Source organism: Homo sapiens, chromosome X (assembly GCF_000001405.40).
Source record: "Homo sapiens chromosome X, GRCh38.p14 Primary Assembly".
In the NCBI taxonomy this organism is placed as follows: Eukaryota; Metazoa; Chordata; class Mammalia; order Primates; family Hominidae; genus Homo; species Homo sapiens.
The window spans coordinates 42,670,402-42,693,777 of record NC_000023.11 but is presented as its reverse complement, the minus strand read 5'-3'; the positions used below and the strand labels follow the sequence as shown (position 1 = coordinate 42,693,777).

Below are 23,376 nucleotides of genomic sequence, written 5' to 3'. Positions count from 1 at the left end.
TCATAGGAGTGGTAATCTATCACCTTTCCAATATTCTACTGGTTAGAAGCAAATCACGGATTCCACCAACATTCAAGGGGAAGGGATTATACCAGAGCACGAAAGCCCTACAGATTAAGATTTGTGAGCCACTCCCTTAATCTCTTGAAAGCGTCCTTTGTGTGGCTGAATATTCTGATATTTTGATTTTTCTGAACTTTTAGTGAAAAGTTGTAGAGTCATATGGTCAAATTTTTCTCTAGACCAAGCCATCTTAATTTCAGCCATTAACTTTTTGCCATTTGAAGAGACTGGATTTTCAAAATCATCAAGTTCTTGTTCATTTTTGTTCTTCTTTTGATTTATTTCTCTCTTCTCACATTTTATTGTAAGCAACAAGAAGAAACGAGATAGCACCTTCAATACTTCTTTTGTAAATTTCCTTAACTAGATAAACAGGTTCATCACTTACACGTTCTGCTTTACATATAAATGCAGGAGACAATTCTGAGTTTTCTTCTACTTAGCAAGAGTTTCTCTTTCCTCCAGTTTTCAATGGCTTATTCCTCACTTCTTCTGAGCTCTCACCCTTACCAGGAGCATGCTTCAATTTTAGATTTCCACTAACAGTCCACTCAAGGCAATTTATACTTTCTCCGTTGTTCTCCAAATTCTTCCAGTGTGCACCCACCCAATTCTAAAGCTACTCTTACATTTTTAGGTATTTTACAACAGAATTCCACTTCAGATAAAAAGCATCCCATTTCTAGTACCAAAGTATGTATTAATTTTTTATTGCTATGTCCCAAATTACTACAAACTTAATGGCTTAAAGCAGCACACATGTAATATCCTGGTTTTAGTAAGTCCAAAGTCAGAGCACTGCTTAACTTGGTCCTCTGCTTAGGGTTTCACGAGGCTGGAATCAAAGTATCAGCCAGACCGGGTTCTCATCAGAGGCTTAAGTGAGGAATTATTTACTTCCAAGTTCTCCCAGGGTGTATTCTTTGTGACTGTAGAATTCATAGAAACTTCTTCAAAACCAGTAATTGAAGGAGACTGTTAATAAGATGGAGCCTTATATAATGAAACATAATCATGGGAATGACATCTTATCACCTTTGCCATATTTTTTTGGTCAGAAGCAAGTCACAGATTTCACCTACATTCAAGGGGAAAGGATTATACAAGGACATGGACTTACAAAAGCAGAGATTATTGGACCATCTTAAAATCTGTTGGCCCCATTGAACTTGTTCAAAATAAACAGAACTAACACAATTTTCAGGGGAATCTTATCCTGAAATCTTTGTGTTGAGAACATGTGTGTGTTAACATTGAGGATTCCAAAAGTTGAAGGTAAGAGGAAAGCAATTAAGTTGGGAAAGAAATAAAAAAGGGTTTTACTACAGACTGCTAAGGTGGATATAGAAGATGCTTTGCTAATACAGATGATGGAGTCAAATAAGGGAAAAACCATGAAGGATAAAATGGTTAGGAAAAGATATGTAGGTGAGATAAGATTTAAAATGAACTCTGAATAATGGGTAGAACTTAGAGAAAGAAAGTAGCATTCTATTAAGTAGTGAAGGTGTGAATAGTATTTGGAATTGGTAAAAACATGGAACATACAGTGGACACCTGGGAGACTGAAGTGATTCAATGATTCTCTACCCTGGCTACACATTAGGATCACTTGGAAGTCTTTACAAATAGTGATACTCAGCCCATCTCAGGTGTTCTGTTTTGATTGCTGTGTGATGGAGCACAGATGTCAATGGTTTATAAAAGTGATCCAAGTAAATTTAGTGTACCTCAGAGATGAGTGCCACAAGCATGATTAAGAGTGTACTCACGTAAAACAAATTAGTAGGATACATATGTCAAATAGGATGAGCTATAGGTTGCATATGATACCTAGGACATAGAAAAAAAACTTTGTTTTAGGCTTACTGCTGTTCTTAATAGCTATAGAACATACATGTTTCAGATATCTCTGCTGCATCATTTCAGATCCTCTTTCTTAGCTTCACGCTTTTTTCCCTTTTTTCTTTTTATTTTTCTTTTTTTCTTCTTTCTTTCTTTCTTTCTTTATTTTTTCAGCTTTTGTGGTGGCAGGCAGCTCAATGAGGGCTTTTCTTTACACAGTCCCAAGCAGAGAGTGTCATCGCCTCCTGCCTGCTCCTAAAGCCTCTCTTTTTGGTTCACTGCCCTGTGCCCTCACCCTGGCCTACATAATCCAGAAGTATAGACAAATTAATATCCTGTGGAGTAAACCTTTGGCCAGTGGGAAACAGGAACCAGTGGATAAATCCTTCCTTTTTGTCCACATATTGCCCCCAGTAGAGTCCTTGAATGTACTTTATAGAGATAGCTTCTTGGAGGCCGAGTTTCACAAATCTAGCATTCTGCTGCACTTAGCAACAGTAAGTTCAACAGCACAATTGTGTATTTGTTCTCCTTTAGCTGCTCCACTCTCTTTGTTTCTCTCCTGCTCCCCAGAATTGTATCCCTAATAAAGTGCAAGCAAATAGCTCCAGAAGCCTCAGCTCTGCTTTCTGCTGAACCCAAGTTATAAATGTAAGTATTATACCTTGCATTTGTAGATCATTTTTTGCCTTATATTTCTATAGTAAAAATTATATTAAGACAATTTCTAACATCTAAACATTTGTAACATTTTAAAACAAAATAATGTGTCAGGGAAGTTTCAAGAAACATTCCAAATACAATTGGTAAAATGTCATAATATGTGAAGCAGACATTTTGAAAAGAGATGACAAAGGGGATGTAAAGCTATCATGCTACTGATGCTAGGAAAAGTTGAGAAACTGAAAATAAAACAATTGCTTTCTAAAAAACAACTCTATTGAGATATAGTTGGCATATGATAACCTGCAACTGTTTAAAGTATACTATTTGGTAATTTTGACATACATGAAACCAAAACCACAATCAAAACAATAAAAATGTTCATCACTTTGAAAGTCTCCTTGTGTTCCTTTAGAATAACTCCCTCATTTCCCTCACAGCTCCAAACCTCCCTACCTGGAAAAGCGTTGATCTGTTATCTATCACTATAAATTAAATTGCCTTTTGTAGAATGTTATGTAAATAGAATCATACGATATATACTAATATACACTTTTTTGTCCAGCTTCTGTCACTCAGCATATTTATTTTGAGATTCACTGTATATCAATAGTTCATTCCATTTTACTGCTGAGTAGTATTCCATTATATAAATACTTCATAATTGATTATTTAACTCACCAGCTGATGGACATCTGGGTTATATCTGGTTTCTGGCTATTATGAAAAAAAAAAGCTCCTATGATCTACCTATACAAGTATTTGCATAATCATATACTCTTATTTTTCCCTTGGGTAAATACCTATTGTAAAATGCTGGGTCATATGGCTAGGTGTATATTTAACTTTTTTTAAAAACCCATCAAAAATGTTTTCCATTGCAAATTAAAACCACAATGAGATACCACCTTATCCCAGCCAGAATGGCCATTATTAAAAAGTCAAAAAACAATAGATATTGGTGCAGCTGTGGTGAAAAGGCAGTATTTATACACTGCTTGTAGGAATGTAAATTAGTAGTATAACCTCTATGGAAAACAGAATAGAAATTTCTCAAAGAACTAAAGTAGATCTACCATTCAATTCATCAATCCCACTACTGGGTATCCACGCAAAGGAAAATAAGTCATTATATCAAAAAGACACCTACACACATATGTTTATCATAGCACATTTCACAATTGCAGAGATATGAAATCAACCTAAGTGCCCATCAACAGATGAGTGGCTAAAGAAAATGTGATATATATATATATACATACACACACACACACACACCATGGAATACTACTCAGCTATAAAAAAGAATAAAATCATGTATTTTGCAGCAACTTGGGTGGAGCTAGAGGCCATTATCCTAATTAAAGTAACTCGGGAATGGAAAACAAAATACCGCATATTCTCACTTATAAGTGGGAGGTAAGCTATGGGTTTGCAAAGGCATACAGAATAGTGTAATGGACATTGGAGGCTCAGAAGTGGGGAGGGTGGGGGGTCGAGAGATGAAAAATCACCTGTTGAGTCCAACGTACACCAATGGGGTGATGGGTACACTAAAAGCTGAGATTTCACTGCTATACAATTCATCCATGTAGCCAAAAACTACTAGTACCTTTAAAGCTATTCAAATAACAGCAACAACAAAAAATGTTTTCCAATGTGGTTGTACCATTTTAAATTCCCACCAGAAGTAATATATATATATATATATATAAAATATATATGTGTGTGTATATATATGTGTATATATGTATATGTATATATACATATATACATATACATATATTATATATATGTATAGAGAGAGAGAGAGAGAGGAGAGAGAGAGAGAGAGAGGAGGGGGCTGGCGGGGGTGGGTCTCACTCACTCTGTCACCTGGGCTGGAGTGCAGTAGTGTGATCATAGCTCACTGTAGCCTCAGACTACTGATTTTAAGTGATCTTCCCACCTCAGCCTCCCAAATAGCTGGGAATACAGGCATGTGCCACCACACCTGGCTAATGGTTGTTTTTTCATTTTGTTTTGTTTGTAGAGACAGGGTTTCTCATTATGTTGCCCAGGCTGGTCTCAAACTACTGGGCTCAGGTGATCCTCCCGTCTCAGGACTTCCAAAGTGCTGGCATTACAGGCATGAGCCATCATGCCTGGCCTGGTCTATCTTTTAATTTGGGCTATGCTAATATGTATGGAGCATAGTATGGAGTATGAGATACTTCTCATTGTGGTTCTAATTTTTATTTCCCTAATGACTAATCAGGTTGAGCATTTTCTTGTATACTTGTTTATGGTCACCCATTTTGTGAAAGAGTTTGTGAAGAATTGTTATTTCTTACTTACATGTTTGGTAGAACTCTCCAATGAAGGCATCTACTTCTGAGGATTTTTTGTGAGAAGAGTTTTTACTACATATTTAAAATAGATATATGGCTATTTAAATTATCTATTTCTTTGTGAGTTTTGGTAGTTTGTTCCTTTCAAAAAATGTGTCTATTTATTCTAATTTATCAAATTTATTTGCATAAAGTAGTTCATAACGTTCTTTATCTATAGAATCTATAGTGCTATCATTTCTCTCATTCCTGATGTTGATAATTTGTCTTCTCTTTCTTTCTGTCTCTCTCTACCTCCACCTCTAGCTCTAGCTCTTTTTCCTGATCAACCTGGCAAGAGTTTTATCAATTTTATTGATTTTCTCCAAAAACCAACTAATAGTTTTATGATTATTTTTCTATTGTTTTTCTCTTTTCTAGTCCATTTTTTTGTCTGAACTTTATTATTTTTTTTCTTATGTTTACTTTTGATAATGCTCGTATTTTTCCAGTTTCTTAAGGTTGAAGCTGAGGTCATTGATTCTTGCCAGATCTTCAGCCACATCTCCTCAACTCAGGGAATTTTTCTGGCTCTGCCTCAGTTCCTCTTCTCTGTACTTCAGCCTGGAATTTATTTGAAGTTAGTAAGCTGGGCCAATGGTAGGGTTTACCTCATTTGTTTCTCAGATCTCAGGAATCACTGTCCTTTTTTACATGATGTCTAATGTCTTAAAAACTGTTGTTTCATATATTTTTGTGTACTTTTTTGGTTGTTTTGGTTGGTTCAGTGAATCTGGTACTCCTTACTCAATTTTGGCTGCAAGTGGAAGGTCCAATTGTTTGTTAACAACAGTATTGATTGTTTGTATATTAGAAAGTGATATTTTGAGTATTTTACAAATCAACACAATTGTTATTTGCATATTGGCAATTTACTGTGTTTTAGTTTTGTTTCAAGAAATTGGTCAGATGGTTTTCGTTGACCTTTAAACCCATGATTTTTCTCATTTAAAATAATGGGAACTAGACATCATTAGCATTTTCATGTATCATGTCTTATTTTCTATGATGGATTATTGAGGTTAGTCAGAAAATGCCTATATTTGGCTTAGACTTATTTCTCTAGCAAAAATAATTCTAGAATTCAGAGATGTCATGGCAGCTCCATGAAGTCCTCAGAGACAAGTGCCTTCTATCTTTCTGCTCCTTAGTGCATGAATTCCATTCTTCTCATAATTACAAGATGGTTGCTGGAATATCAGTCAAGTCCACAGTCTAGCTTTCCTAGCTAAGTTAGCCCTATTTAAATAGATTTTTCTAGGAGCTCATCCAGTGTTTTCTTCTTACTGTAATGGGTAGGCAATCCATATTTTCAAGGAAGTATTACAAATGTAATGTTTTTGTTGTTGTTATTGTTTTAACCAGGTACCTTGCTAACCTGAACAAAACTAGGGCTTTTTAAATGAAAAAATAAGAGGAGAAGAATTATGGATAAGACACTAGGAGTCTTTGCCACATTTGGTAAAGGATGTTAATATAGGCTAGGTATTATATATGACATTTTGAACATAGAAATAGCATAAGGTTTAAAGATTTTTCCGGGAGGACAGAGAAAGAGACTGGAATGTGAGAGTCTGGTGACAGTCTCCTGTTTGATCTCTCCACGATGGTAATCTTAGAATGCATCATTGAAGACTGGTAATGGAAAAGAAAAAGGAAACACTTCAAAATACGTATCTAAAGAAGAAATCTTAGAAAGTATTTGGTGGTGGATGGGATGTAAAAGGCATGTACAACAAAGACAGTATATAGTAAGGAATGAAAGGATGATGAAAGAAGTGTCGGAAAACTCATGGAAGCCACTGCTGTATACATCTGGCAAGTTCAGCCCTGCCCAGGGCTTAAGGAAATGATGTCTGGGTCTTGCATTGAAGACTCTCTCTCTCTCTCTCTCTCTCTTTCTTTCTCTCTCTGTCTCGACAATAGGAATGTTGAAATAGTCTGACACTAACACATCTGGCTTCTGCAGTAACCTCAGATGGGCAGGGTACAGCCTAATGTGTGGGCCAACTGCCATCAAAGATGGCCAGCTCACTGACCTCATGAATGTCTAAGCCTCTGTTTCCATGTTCCTGCATGAGCTCCCTGCTAGGACAAGGAACTAACCTGAAACTTAAGAACTGAACTCCTTTAAGCCTGCCACCTCCCATACCTGAAGCAGTTTCTATATTTTGCTGTGTCAAAGATGAAATAGGAAAACAACAAACATGCTATAGTAAAAAATTAAGAAATCTGGGGTCACATGAGTCAGGAAAAAGTTTCTGTTCAATATCTGGATAGTTGGGTGACCTAGGGCAAGTTACTCACTATCTCTGAGCCACATTTACTAACCTGAAAAGGGAGAATTATTATAATAACGCCTGAAAGCCTGCCCTGTGTAATTCTTTGAGGCTTGGTCATGTTTGTTAAAAGAAGGGAACATGCTTCAGACTCTAGCCTTGTCTCAGTCCATTCATTTGATGTGTCAACTTTCAAGTTGCTTCACCTCTTAGGATCTTGATTTCCTTCTCTATCCTTTTCCTGGGCTTCAAAAACAGTTTTTTGACATATAGTGTTTGTTCAATAAATATTTGCTGAATTAAATTCTGTTGATTTTGCAAAATGAAAGATTTCATTTAGATTAACATTTCCCAAAATATGCGTTGTAAGATGCTGATAAATTGATAATGCATGTTGTAAATACTTGTGCTTGAGATGATGCAGCAGAAAAACCCAAGGAGATGGTGTCACTGATGTCATCCACAAAGCCTCCACACCTCTTTATTGTCTACTGCTAAATTTAATGGTATGTGAAATAAAAGTAAACTCCCTATATTTTGCAAGCTACTCTGATTTGGGCATCCATTAGTGCAGGCAAACCTAATTCTTTCCTGATCCAAAGGATTAATGTTTACCCAATAGTATTTTATAGAAGGAGCCACTATTCCCCATCAACCCCTACTCATAACTTCTCTCAGCCTTCAGTCAATACATCAATCAACAATATTCTCAGACACTTAATATGTGCCTTATGTGTTAGGTGCTACACAAAAGAAGTATACATCTCAATTCCTGCCACTAAGAGACCTACAATTTATTTGAATATAGAGGAATATTGACTCAGGTAACTCATAATGAAATTTAATTTGATGGCCCTAAACTGGACAGTAATTCTCTGGAACGCAGGGACTAAGTATTCAGCAAACTATGGGCCTGTTCTTGTCCTTTATATGGAATATAATGGGAGCATGAAACATGCTTGCTCTACAGATGGCTTAATCTGTACACCCTATAGCCTGGTTGCTCAACCAATTGGCTTCCCTATTGAAATGACAGCTAATTTAAAAGAATAAGTGGCAATTTAATAGAATGGAAAACCATTAACTCAGAACCTTCTAATCAAGACTGATTTTTATGTAAGTTTTATGAAGTGCTTATTGCTGGCTCAGGAGAAAAAAAAAAGAAGGATGAAATTGTCTGCTGTAATGCTGTTACCTCACTGTGGACTGGGGGGGGGGCTCTACTCTCAATAATACTGACAATCCTAATAAGAGTGATGATGATGACAATGCTCCTTTATATTTAGAAAGTGTTTTCACGTAAATTTTAAGAAGCAACTGTATATAAATATATATATATATATATATATATATATATAGAGAGAGAGAGAGAGAGAGAGAGAGAGCAGGCTGTGGATTCTATTAGACTAGGATTCTGATCCAACCTCTACGGTCTGTGTTCCTAATCCCACAATATGTAAAATGAGAATAATAATGCATATTATTAATACTTGGGGACTAAATGTAAGAGTCTCCTAAAAATCAGAAACAAGGAAAATAAAATTATGTTTGAGAATTAAGCTTAAGCATCAACACAATGACTCATGGCCCAATAGCTCTCAAAACACAGAATGGCTGTAAGAACTGGTAGCAACTGCAATCACAGTAGGGGTTGTAATCAACCATAGAAACATAGCAGAACATCACAAAATACAATTGCCTAAGCACTGGGTTAGGGAGAAAGAGTATAAGCGAAGAAACTTTGAGTGTTTCCTGTTCAACAGGATAGACCATTGCTAATGTGGAGTTACAGGTGTGGTAAATTGGAAAAAAAAAAAAAAAGCCACAATATTTTGAAGGTCCTCTCATCAAGAGGTGGAGTCTGTTCCTCCACCCGTGTATCTGGGTTTGGCCATGTGATTTGCTTTGGCCAATGGGATATTAGCAAATATAAATAAGCAGAGGTTTGAATAGTGCTCACATAGTGGGGTTACCTTCTCTGCTTCTGCGAATTATTCCTACATCACACGAACAGGCCTGGGCCAATCTCCTGGAGAATGAGAACCTACATGTAGAGAGTCCTCAGCTGTCCAACCATCCTACCTGAGGCCTCATACCTCTAAGTGAGGCCATCCTAGACCATCCAGCCTCAAAGAAGTTGCCAGACCCCAAAAAAAACACCCAGATAGCCCACGGAATTATTAAAAATACTTGTTTATTGTTTTAAGTCACTAAGTTTTATAGTAGTTTGTTATGTAGCAATAGACACCACAGGGCTTTATAGCTTTTAGCATTCCAGTCCCCAGGGGTTGACATCATAAATCACTCCATTCTCCTAGTTTCCCTTGAGTCCATGCTTGCCAATAAATTTCTAAATATGATCTGGCCTCTCACATAGTCTGCCTATAGTGGGCAATGGGCCGACTACATTAACTTTAAGGATTCCTACCCCTAATGTGGTAATTATTCATGATGAATTTGTGAAGTGGGTTCTGACCCAGGTTTGGCTTAAGGAGAAGATATTCAATGCTGAAAGACTTCCCTTTGCCTGTCCATATTTACCCTCTACCCTTTCTACCCTGCCCTTTACTCCAGGAAGCTGACCTGTATAGACTGCCTTAAAAAAAGTCTTGCCTTGTGGCTTCTTGTTGGACTTCACCAATAGAAAGCCCTACCTCGTGGCTGGAGACGAAAAGTGATTTCAGGCCATTAATTCTCACAATTCCCTCCCTGTAAGGTTGCTTTGGGCTGGCTGAATTCTTTGACTAAAGATTGCAGCTCTTGTCAAGGTGGCCCTCTCACCCCAAGACTCTCTCATTGAAACTGCTTCCTCTCCTCTTTCCTTTAGGCCTAGAGAATGGGCTACCATTCTTAAGCCTAGGTGGAAACAGAGAAATTTTTACTAGCTTTCAGTTCCATACTATCCTGTATGGTTTTTCTAATCCTGCCCACACTTTTGTATTATTAATAAATAACTCCCTTTATTAAGCCCTCCCTCAAATATCCTAATTTCAGCATGCCATCTGTCTCCTGTTGAGCCCCTGACTGATGCATATGCTGAGCATGTGGGTTTGAGTACTGGGTTTGTCTGATGGTGATTCCTTCTTGGCTTATGATTCACCCCTGAGAGATGAATCCACATTCACTAAGCTGATCAGGTGTTTAGGGCTATGAGACTGAGAGCCAGGTCCTGGTTCTCAAGAAATTCACAAAGGTAGTGAATTCCTCTAGGAGCCAGCCAGCTGGCCTTTTCCCCTCTAGAGTGGAGAACAAGAACCATATGTTTCTGTATTTCTATAATTACACACTTTTAAGGTTGTTATTAGATTAGTTAAACTATATGCAAATTGCTTTGTACATGCCTAGCACCTTGTAAGTGCTCAGCATGTTAAGCATTGCTGTTGTTTGTTTTAATGTCCCTTTGACTGTATAATACGGTCTTTACTGATCAAATGATGTGTAACATTTTTCTTGGATTCCTTTTTAGGATGCTTTTGTTAATGTGGTACACTGAGATTATGGGGATTGGGGTAAAGAAAGAGAATGCATGTGCAGCATGATTTACACATAGTGTACATAACTTCTAGAGCCTTACAACAGAGCAACCAAAAGGAAAAGATTCTAATGTAGCAATTATTGCTTAAACACATTTAATGAATCAAAGATGGAGCGATCCTGAAGCAGAAATGATACTCTAAGTAAAACAGTCCTGCAAGTTCATTGGTAGATGTTTAGTTTGGATGATTTGTATTGGGATTTTAATTTTATATTCCTTTTATTTAATATAGGATGTGAACTTGGAAAAGCTCTAAGGCAGCCCAGGAAAAGGCAGACAAGAAACCATCATGAATGGGTGCTGCATGAGCAGAGATTGTCAAGAAAATGGGATGGTAATTTGCATAGGTCCACAAAGCGAACATTGATTTGAAGTGTTCCTGTGAATGGCCAGTAGACAGGATATAGAAACAGACAGGAAATCATAAAGTGGAGAATGGTGTATAAGATGGAGTTTCAGCCTGGGGAAGTACATAAAATAATGCCATGTCAAGGTCATAAGAACTTCGACAGTCAGGGAGATGACAAATAGAAAACTGATTCATAAATCCTGAAATAAAATATTACTACCTAAACTCTAAATCAGATGGCCACCAGGTCAAAAATAAATTACAAGGTGAATCTAATGTAGCTATGTAATTAAAAATTGGCCATGTTGATGAGGCAAGAAATTTTGGCAATAACAGTAATGAAGGTGTCAGGGCTCAGAAAATGACATGCCAAATTATGGCACTTTAGTGTGCTGAGTACTTTGAACTAAAGGAGATTGGAATGCCTCAGAAGCAAAGCCACTCTATCCCCCACCTTTCTGTGTAGGTGTATAGCAGATGCATCTGACAGCAATAACTTAAGCATACCCTGAGAAAGACCCTCAAGTCTAAGAAGAATGTGTGTTTGGAGTTCTGAGCTAAGAAATCCAGGAGTGGCAAACCTAGAGATTCGCTCCTTGTCTATGAAGGACATATGACCCCCTGGCCCATGCCTTGGAATGCAGGCCATATAGGGGATTAAGGTCCTTTGTTTTGGGTTATATGGAGGTTGTTAGGTGGAGGGTGGTAGCAGGTTTTCAGTCCAGCCCACCACCACTGTACTGCCCCATATGTAAGTCCTCAGTAAACCCTATGTGTCATCTGCTGGTTCCGGGTCTCCTCTCTTCTTCCGCTTCTAGGACATGGTGCTATCCCTATTGGAGTCAGTAGGTCTGGCACAACAGTAGGAGCTGGCCATAAAGAAATTCTCTGACCTACCTTGTCTGATAGCAGGTCATAAGATCCTTATTCCAGAGGGGTCCTGCCCCATACCTGGGAGAAAGGAATGCTACACAGAGGTCAAGGAGAAGCCAAACAAGCAGGACTTAATGGGTTTCCCACTCCGTCTATTGCCATTAGATCATACATTTTTTGTGTGGAATCATATTTCTACATGGTTGTCCATTCTTCATGAAAACTAAGAATAAAAGTAGACAATTTTCCCTGAGTCTTTGTGTCTTCATTTCTGAAGGCTTCCTTGTTATGTAAAATTTTGATTAAATACATTTGTTATGCTTTTCTCTTGTTAACCTATCTTTTGTTACAAGAGTGTTGGCTGTGATTTTTATGATGGGTAAGAAAGGTTACTGCACCTTTTCCTGTCCTACAAAGGAAAAAAATAATCAAATTATATCTTAGTTGGAAGTAATCTAAAAACTATATTAACCATTAACTAGAGACTATTTTCACCAGGGCTAAAAACAAACATGGAAAAAAAAATAAGACTATCAGAATTAAAAGACTTATAAAGCTTATGTCACTATCAGCAAAAGACTAGAAAACTTTTCCTTGGAGAATAAGAAACAGGGATTCAGACTCAGGTACATAAAATAACCTTAGTACTTTATAATCTTACCTATATATTTTCGGTATCTCTTCAGCCAGAGGGGTATTATCCCACTCTGTAGTTTAGCATCACAATTAATTTAAGTGGGGTTAAAGAAACACCATGTTTTTCATGTTCTTGACATCCCATAGCCCTAGTCCTTCTCTCCAGAATTGTGTTAACAACAAAGTTATGCTGCCACCTAAAGAGCAAGGCTCCTTTTCAAATTTAAACTATGGGCTGTTGTTTTTTCTATCTCTCTATGCTTATTTCTAACTGTCTGACCTGGAGCCCCATAGCCTTGGACTAGCCAAGCGCTGACTCAGGAAAGGGAAACAAGAACACAAGGCCTGAGTTTTCCCAGGAGCAGAAAGCACTGAAGATTAGAAAGGCCTTTGTCGTCTTTGTTATGTGTAATTTGACTAAATCTACTTAAATAAAAAAGAACTGGGGGCTTCAGAGAACCTCTGTACCCTTAAATGAACAATATAATGCAAAGGGGAAAAGAAAAAAGTGAATGGGGAAAAAAATATTTTTTTCTTTTCTGCTGAAAATATCTAAAGTTTCATTAATAAAACCTGGATCCTTTTTCACTAAATATGGTTCTGACCTGTTCGCAAAAGGCCTGTGCAGAAATATCAGGTAATTAATAATGCCTTGAGGGGAAATGTGCTTTAGATGTTTTATTGTTTTTTTAATCACTTAACATGGTTTTTAAATGATTATTTATTTCTGGCCACATTGTTGCATACTGATTTTAGGGTGGCTTACATAAATACATTTAATTATATAAGATAAAAACTAATAAGAAGCAAAGAAGAAAAGCAGGGTAAAGGAGAAAATAAAAGTAGTTGAGATAGAGCCAGGGGTTATATTGATACCCCAAATGCGTGTTCTAAGTCCTCATTGTTTCACTAGAGATGTGAGATGTGAGAGACAAAACCAGGCACATGTCTTACAACATCCATACAATAAAAATCAGACTTGATACTCAAAAGAGCCAGAGAGAAATGTCTCCCCTGGATTCTCATAAACAGGAATATAATGGACAACTTCCTCAACAGCATCCCTACAGTAAATACAGAAACAGGTTCAAAGGGAAGTTTCTTACACTCCCCTTGGTGCCACCATATAAATATAACCCAGGAAGAGCAATTTGCCAAGGACATCCACACACATCTCTGATGGTCTACCTTGGTCCAGGGAAAGAGATGAGCATGTGCAAAGAATGGATGAATGCACTGCACATCCCTCATTCAACAAATCACCATAAGTATTTGGTTTTTTGGCCACACTTGGGAGAAGCACCAAGTTCAGGAAGATACCCCAGACAAGTAGCTGGAGAGCAACTGCTCTGTGTTGCCAGCTTTGCCGAGTTGTAAATAAAACTGACTTCTTGTCATTGTTGAAGAGCTCTGTCTCCTGAGGCAGCTCCCCTTTATGCATATGAGAAACTGTCCTTTCACTCACTCCCAAGAGAGCATGCCTGAACCACAGAGCATTCGGGAGAGGGCCTGAGCTCTTCTAGGTTTTATTGTACCTAAAATTTGAACAATTCTGGGGAGCCATTTTAGAAGATACATACAAAATCAACTGCAAAAGTTAATTTTTATTTAGAATGAGAAAACACAACAAATTACAAAATCTTTAAAACCTGGCAGATACCATGAACATTTCTAAAAATTAACTAATATTTTTGATGAATTAACTGCCTGATACACCTGTATTGTACATTATTTTCTACATTTTGACTGCATATTCCTTAATCTTTTATAATATTTTCTATACGGAAAACAGAAAGATAATTCAGCCTTTTTTCTAGCGCAAATGATGGAAATTTGTTAAAAATCCATAGTTTAGGAAGTTTCTTTCCACTTTACAACCTGTTATTGACAATGACAGGTGCATTATTAGGATTGCCAAATTTACAAAAATCTCTATCGAATTTCTTTCATAGATACACTGTGATATTTATAATTATTTTTCACAGATCAGTTTCTGGCTGCCTATATTTGCTTGTCCTCCACTACCTACCTTTATACTCATGCTTCCAAGTTCCAAAGGACAAGTTCATATCACAATATGATCCTTAACCTTCATGTTACAGTGAGAGATAAATTAGCATCATGGGAAGTAGGATTATATTATTCTATCAGGATGGCTAGTAACAACTGCACAAGAAAATGACTGTGAAAATACATAGACATACCCCACTAAGCTTTACCTAAATGGATCCTGTAGTAGGCTGAATAATGGCCACTTGAAGATATCAAGTCTTAATCCCTGGAACAGGTAAATGTTACCTTATAAGCAAAAAGGTCTTGAAGTTGTAGTTAAGGCTTTTGAGATAAGGAGATTATCTTCGATTATCCAGGTGAACCATAAATACAATTTTAGTGTCTTTTTTTTTTTTTTTTTGAGATGGAGTTTCGCTTTTGTTGCCCAGGCTGGAGTGCAATGGCGTGATCTCGGCTCACCACAACTTCCACCTCCCGGGTTCAAGCAATTCTCCTGCCTCAGCCTCCCAAGTATCTGGGATTACAGGCATGCACCACCACGCCCAGATAATTTTGTACTTTTAGTAGAGATGGGGTTTCTCCATGTTGGTCAGGCTGGTCTCGAACACCCGACCTCAGGTGATTTGCCTGCCTCAGCCTCCGAAAGTGCTGGGATTACAGGCGTGAGCCACCATGCCCGGCCCGTGTTAATGTCTTTATAAGAGACCCGCAGAAGGAGATTACAAAAGAAGGCAATGTGATGACAGAGGCAGAGATTAGAATGATGTGGCCACCAGCCAAAGAACACCAAGGAATGCTGGCAGCCACCAGAAGCTAGAAGAGGAAAGGAATGAATTCTCCCCTAGAGCCTCCAGAGGGAGTCCTGCTGACACCTTGATTTTCTCCCATGCCTTTTCTTAATAAAGACACTAATGTTCGGCAAGGCTATGTCACTTGCCTAAGGTCATATAGCAAGTGAATGGCAGAGCTAAGATTCTAACTAGATGTCCTTGACTATAAAAGTTTTATAGTTGGAGTCTTCCTTCTCTCCCTGCTGCCACATCTAAATGAAGTTAAAAGAGACAAAATATTTACCATAGCAGGGTAAGAGAGTGATGATGCAAAAAGTAAGAAATACTTTTTTCTTATTATGGATAAAATTTACATTTTTGAACATTGAAATATTTAATCTGTTATGAAAGCTTCCCATTAAGCTCCCATTTAAATAAGCGCTATTTATGTCACTTATTAAGGAAATCATGTAAAAACGATTTTTTTAACGGAAACACAATCATTGCTATCGTTTTTAAGACATCAGATATAAAAGATAGTAATAGATTCCTTACACTGGAAAATGGATCATGTCCCCTATTGGCCATCAAATTTTTCGCTTGTGTCTGTATCAATGTAACTTTCACCTAAAGGAAAATTGAAGAAAGAAACAGAAAAAAAATCACAGAATTTGAAAATTTACAATGGGACATTTCTTAGCTAAGGCCAGCATATGATAGGTAAAGGGGTTAGCTTTAATTACTATTGGATGGACAAAACAAGAAAGGCTGGGGATGGGGTGTGAATAAAGTTAAAGCAAAGAGTCCGTGGTACCCACTAGATTGTGATTCCCTGGAAAGTAGCGACCATGTCTGACTCCTTATTTTTTCCTCGGATCTTAACACAAGACATTACACTGAATAAAAGTTTAACTAAATTGAAGGAACAGCATGGGCTTTTGAATCATCACTAGGATTCAAAGTAGGTGGATTCTCTTGTCCCTTATTAACCAGAGGTTAAATCACTTATGTTTGCTGAGATAGAGCTCCATCATCTGTAAAATAGAGAAAATAATACTTACCTTATAATACTCTTACGATCATTGTTCCCAAGATTCTTACACGAATTCTACTATAGAACCTGAAAGTGCCCTGACCTCTATCATAGATTTATTAGTCTTCTGTCTCTCAAGAAAAAGACGGACATACAAAATTGTGTAACTTATTAAATTAGTCCAACAAAATTCTGAGTGCTCCTTTCTCAGAAAGGTAAACTTTCATGCTCTCGCAACAAATGGAACATGTAATGCTTGCAACGCCTCTGACAGGTTTTTTTGTCCAAAGCTTGTGCCAGCTTGATGTTCAGTGTTGGTTCTAAAGAACAGGGAAGGATGACCTGCCCACTGATCCACCTCAATAAGGCCATAGAGTTATGGTTGGGTCTTATCATACCCAATCATTTCTGTTCTCAAAGAAATTATAAAAGGGGCATGAATCTTGGCTTTGAAACAGATGCCCAGTGTGAAGATTAACCTTCTATTGTCTGCCTACCCACTCCACGTCCACCCCATAATCAAAGGTGTGAGAATGGTGATCTAGATATATGAAAACTAGGAAAACTGTCACATGCAAAAGGCTAAAACCAGTAAGGGTCACTGCTCTATAACATTGTTCTGACTAGACAATAAAGGACAGTGAACACACCCATTGCCAATTGCTCAGACTTTTTCTGTCCTGAATTTCCTATCTCTTTACTTAGACTTAGACTTCCTGTCTAGGCAAGACTCCATAGACCCCTTTTGCCTTGCTTCTCCTCATTAAGCCCCTGAAATTATAAAAGAGACAACTAAAGGAGATATCTGAAAGGTGATGCGAAGATGAACCCCTCTGAGACTACAACACTGGAGGGACAACCCAGAAGCACAGTGTCTCATGTGCCCCCACTCAATGGAAGAGAAGGCAACTCAGACTTGGAGTTTCCCTACCCCTGACCTGGCAACTCCCGCAAGGGAGATCAACAAGGAGCCCTACCAACAATAAGCAGCCAGGAGAAGTGCTCTCCATTTCAGTCATGCCTTAGACTCCCTCACCCCACCGAGAGATGCTGAAGTGGGTGAAAAGAACCAGCAATAGGGAACTCTAGCAATTGGCCCCATACAAGAAGTTTCTTTGTCGCTCTGGGCCCCAAACTCTCTTCCTTCACCTAGAGGGATCCTGCAATTATACTCTCAGGCATTTGTTCCAGAGAAATGAAAACTTATATCCACACAAAATCCTGTGCATGAATGTCAATAGCAGCTTTAATAGTAATAGGCACAGACTGGAATCATCCTAGATAGCTATCAAAAAGAGAATGGTTAAACCAACTGGGATACGTATATACATGGAATACTGCTTATTGACAAAAAGAATGAATTATTGATACATGCGGCAATTTGGATGACTCTTCAGGGACCTATTCTGAGCGAGAAAAGTCAATTCCAAAATATTATATGCTGTATGATTCCAGTTATAAAACATTTTTGAAATGATAAAATTTTAGAAATGGAGGACAGATTAATGGTTGCTGGGGTTTGCGACAGGAAAGGAGGTAAGCATGTTATAAAAGGAGAACATAAGGTGTCCTTGCCTTGATGAAACTATTTCTTCTGGGTCTTAACAGTGGTTGTGGATATAAACCTACATGTATAATAAAATTGTATAGAACTAAACACAAACACATGCATATATACACACACACAAACACAAAATAAATATACAGGGTCTCTCTATTATTTCTTACAAGTGCATGTGACTCTACAATTATCTCAATAAAAATTTTAATTAAAAAAGCAGGCCTAGCAAGGATGAAACAAAATGTTATAGTTTAGCAAAGCAGATTTTCTAGTACATAATTGATGCTCCATAAATATTAATTTATTTTTCATTTTCATTCCCCTTCCACCCTTCCTGCTGCCACATTTACACACACTCACCCACCCACCCTCACTCCCTCACAACGCACACACACATTTTTCTTCTTACTTAAAATCATGGAAGCTTGTCAAATAGTCCTTTTACCAGAATGCTACAAAATCGAACCACAGAATCCTGCACACAGCTACAGCCCCAGTGTTAACATCCTTACATTGAATTGACTTCCACTGTCTTCCAGGACTCCTCCACAATCAGCCTAAGGCAGTATAGGCCTTGCAGATCATGTGGGCAGCAAGGGTTTCTGACTAAATAGTCCTAGAGGTCGCTAAGTTGTTCATAACCAATGAAAGAAAAAGAGTTATCCAGTGAATTAGAGTTAACTTCTGTAAATCCTTTAAAATAGCTAGGTAATCTTTGAGAGGCCATATACAGAAAAGATTAAAGGAGTGAGCTGTGGGTTTCATCAGACCTGAGATTCAGCATGAAATCTACCAAAGGTACCACAAATGTAACCTTGTCCAAAACGAATCTCAGTTTCTGCATATGTAAAATGGGAATGATAAGAGCACCCACCTACCTCATGCAACTGTTGAGAGAAATAAATGAGACATTGTAAGTAAAGTTTGTAATGCACTGTTATGGCCTGAATTGTGTACCCTAAAATTCATATGTTGAAGCCCTAACACCCAATATGACTGTATTTGTACATAAGGCCTTTAGGGAGGTAATTAAGGTTAAATGAGGTCATAAAGTTGGAGCCCTAATCCAATCAGACTAGTCCTCATAAGAGGACAAAGAGACACCAGTATTGTACATGCACAGAGAAAAGGCCATGTGAGTCCACAGCAAGAAAGCAGCCATTTGCAAGCCAGGAAGAGAGGCCTTACCAGAAACCAACCCTACCAGCATCTTGATCTTGGAACTCCAGCTTCCCAAACTGAGAAAAATAAATTTCTATTGTTTAAGCCATCCAGTCTGTGGTATTTTGTTATGGCAGCTCTACCAGCCTAATACAAGCACCATCAGAGACAGAGATATACGCTCAATAAATGTAAGTTGTAATAACTACGGTTCTTGTTATAATTAAAGTAAGTAAATTGATGGGTCTCCTGGCAAAAGATGTGGTTCCTGCACCCTTAGAAGCCCAAGAGGCCTCTCTTCATTGATATAGTGCTCTGGTCAAGAGAGAAGAGCATTAATTAAGAGTGGATGCAAAGAAGAGCTCAAAGGAAGGAGATGGGGTAAAGTGAAGCTGGGTGCAGAGTGTGTTCATGCAAAGAGGAGAGAAGATGACCATGGAGCAACAGTGGGAGCACAGTGGAAAAACAACCAACTGGTAAGGCAGACTCTGGTGGAAGGGAGAGTCCTTTAGGAAGGGCAGTACTAGGATTGAGTCCTGGGGCCAAAGCCAGTCTAGAGCTTCCTCTAGGATAGCTACGAGCGGAAGAACATAAAGGCAAGTATGAGGCAAAATCCATAGAGAATATTAAGGATCAATACTTGGAAGATCAAGCTTAAATGTCAAGTCCAAATTGCTGGGGCAGGGGGAAAACAAGGAGAACAAGGAGAAATTGGAGCACATAGAAAGTTGTGGAAAATGGTACTGAAATATTTGTCATTTGCTTTTATTCGTCACTGCATGCTGCACCATGGATATGATTAGTTGAAAGTTACAAGGACAGTTGAAGAGGTCTCAAGCCCATGTTTTATCACAAGAAACTGCTAACAGCCATGGTATCACAATAGACCTTGAAACAAACAAAAGGAACCATGGAAAAAGCCAGAATTTTGTAGGCCCTTCCTAAACAAACTGACCCTGAATGATTGCTCATCACACTGGTATCTAGCAGGAACAAAGTTAGAGTAAGTGAACAGGCCACCAGCCCCACCAGCATTAACTGGGCATTTCACCAGGCTGTACTTCTCTGAGATAAATTAGAGGTCAGCAAACTTTTTCTAAAGGCCAGTTAGTAAATATTTTATGCTTTGTGGGCCACATGGTTTCTGTCATAGTTACACAACTCTGCTCTTATAACATGAAAGTAGCCATTGACTATACATAAACAAATGAGCTTGGTTATGTGCCAATAAAACTTTTATATGGATGCTGCAATTTGAATTTCATATAATTTCTATGTGTTATAAAATATTATTCTTGTTTTGATTTTTTTAACCATTTAAAAATATAAAAATCATTCTTAGGATATGGGCCACATGAAAACATGCAGCAGGCTGGATTTATCTCGTGGGCTGTAATTTGCTAACTCCTGATATAAAGAGTGCATAGCCCACCAGCACTAACTGGGCACTCTACCAGGTAATCCAGCGATATTTGTTTCTGTGACATAAACAAAGCATTTAGATTATGAATATAAGAGATGACTTGACTTATATTAATGCTTTTGTCCATTTTAAACAACACTAATCCTTGTAAAATGGCCATGTTTTTAATTGACTCTTTTGTTTCTGATGCTAATTGTTGAGTTTTATAGCGTCTTTGACGAGTTAAAGAACATTGCTTGATCCTTTCAGCTCTCCTTTCGGAAAACATGTTGAACCTACTCATTTCTCATCACTTCCATCAATGCTTCTCTAGTCTAAGTCATCATCACCTTTTGCCTGGATTACTTCAATACCTTCCCAACTTTCTCTCTTTTCCTCCTGTAGTTTACAGCAGCCAAGTAATTTCTGTAAAATATAAATTAGATTACATGACTCCTCTGCTCAGAACCCCACAGTCTTTCCATAACACTTTCAATGAAATCCAATCACCTACCTCATTGTTGAAGCAGGTTGAATTATCCCTCTGGAGTTTAGAGGGCAGAGTTTTTATTAAGGAACGCCCTTGGAATCGACATCTGCGGAAGGGAGGAAAACAAAGGAAGAGTGGGCAGAGGGAGAGGGCAAACTGAGATTTAGGCACAATAGTTTTCGCCAACTTCATGGCAAGCTCTGAAGCTGGAATGGCTCTTTGGAGTTGTCCTGAGTTAGGTCAAGATGTTGGCCTTTTATACTCCCTCACTGATCAGTGTTTGGGTGTAGGCTGCCCCCAAAAGGGGCAAGACCTTGGTTGAGGTGGTTCTTAGCAGCTGGGGCAGTCCCTGGAAGGCCTGACAGCTGATGTTTGTCTGCCCATAGCACTCTTAACAGCTGGAGCAACAATTTATTCGTTGAAGGGGAATCTGGTCAGTGCATCACAGTGTTCAATACACTTTCCTACCTCATCTCCTATGATTCTTCCACTGGTTTAGTCAGCGCCAGGTAAACTAGCCTCCTTGCTTTTCTTCAAGCAAGTCCAGTACAACCATGCCTCAGGGACTTTTCTCTTGTTTTTTCCTCTTCCTAGATGTTTTATTGGATTACTCCCCCACCATTTTTTTTTTTTTTTTTTTTTGAGACGGAGTCTGGCTCTGTCGCCTAGGCTGGAATGCAGTGGCGCGATCTCAGCTCACTGCAAGCTCTGCCTCCCAGGTTCACACCATTCTCCTACCTCAGCCTTCCGAGTAGCTGGGACTACAGGCGCCCACCACCACACCCAGCTAATTTTTTGTATTTTTAGTAGAGACAGGGTTTCATCGCGTTAGCCAGGATGGTCTCAATCTCCTGACCTCATGATCCGCCCGCCTCAGCCTCCCAAAGTGCTGGGATTACAGGTGTGAGCCACCATGCCCGGCCTACTTCCTCATTTGAAGTCTCTTCCCAAATGTAACCACCTCAGAGAAAAACTTTTCTGACAACCCTGCCTAAAATTGCAGCACTATCACCCTCTATCTCCCTATCCTACTTTATTTTTCTTTATAGCACTTATCACTGTCTAATACCTAGAATATATTTCTGCCTCCTTGATGGCTTTTTATCTATCTCTCTTACTAGAATATATGCTCCTTGGGCTCAGGATTTTATCTGTCTCACTCACTATTCTCGGTCTAGAGCCTAGAGCAATGCATGACAGAAAAAAGATCTTCCATAAATGGTTGTTGAATTAATGAATAACAGAAGGAACTGCTTGATATTGATTCATCATAACACTGAAATCTGTAGAATCAGATTCTAATTATTTAAATACAGATATAATCTTTTGTGCTCTGACACAAGCAGTTCTCTACACCACCTCCCACCACCAACTACCAAAGTTCCCTCCCTGAAACATACAGCTCAGTTCCCAGGCCCATTTCCATAGCCAAGGCCACATTTTCAGAGATTTTCCCCTGCATCAAGTTCTATCCCTCAATCCTTTCTTGAATCCCTTTGACACTCAATCTCAAACCAATTTCCTCTGACTTAGTTATGTGATTGTGTTTGGGGCAGGAAAAGAAGAAATAAAGAAAGGGGTAGAACATGCACTATTATCATTAATCTAATGCTGACATTAGACCAACGACATTGAAAATCCATCCTTTTATTCTTATTTTGTCTAATTTTAGCCTGAAGGCTACACCTACAATTAGTCTCCATTTTAAGACTGTCTAGTTACAAAAATTGATTTGACTAAATTAAATTCAAAGCAGTTTGAACTCAGTAAAAATCTTTTGTTCCTCTTATATGGCACTGAATTTTAATTTTAAGCAACTCATGTATTCTCTATCTTGGTCTAGAAAAAAATGGCATCTATCTTTTTATTGAGTCATATACCCACAGTGCTAATGACTATTGTTCTGATGTTATTTACCTGATATCAATCAGTAAAGTATGTATTCAACATGTACTCTTTTTAAAGAATCCTGTATGACTCTGAGGTTAAAAAGAAGGATAATGTGATTTCTGCTTGCAAGTTCTTTATAATATCATGGGACAGGAAAGACTAATGCATAAAAACAGTTAAAAATACAACAGAATGTAGAATTTTCCATGGGTGGAACACAAAATGATGTTGGGTAAATGGACTATAGGATGTTGACTAAAACTCTATGTTGAAGAGGCTTCAGAATAAGCCCAATACATCAGCTAGGTTTCTTAACATGGAAGCCACAGAAATTGTCCTGCCTAATTTCAGCAGAAGATAATTCATTGAATGTATCTCAGGGCTAGATAATTACCTACAAAGTCATAAAATAAGGCTTGGAAAACAATGAGAACTATGAAGGAT

At 38.2% G+C, this 23,376-nt stretch overlaps 1 long non-coding RNA gene across 1 annotated transcript; it reads left to right on the top strand.

Moving 5' to 3' along the window:
* Positions 1-1,001: 1,001 nt before the first annotated feature.
* On the top strand, positions 1,002-12,229 carry LOC124905181 (uncharacterized). Its single transcript, XR_007068221.1, has 2 exons — positions 1,002-2,559; positions 10,987-12,229. It is a non-coding gene; the product is annotated as an uncharacterized LOC124905181 (long non-coding RNA).
* The last annotated feature ends 11,147 nt before the right edge of the window (positions 12,230-23,376 follow it).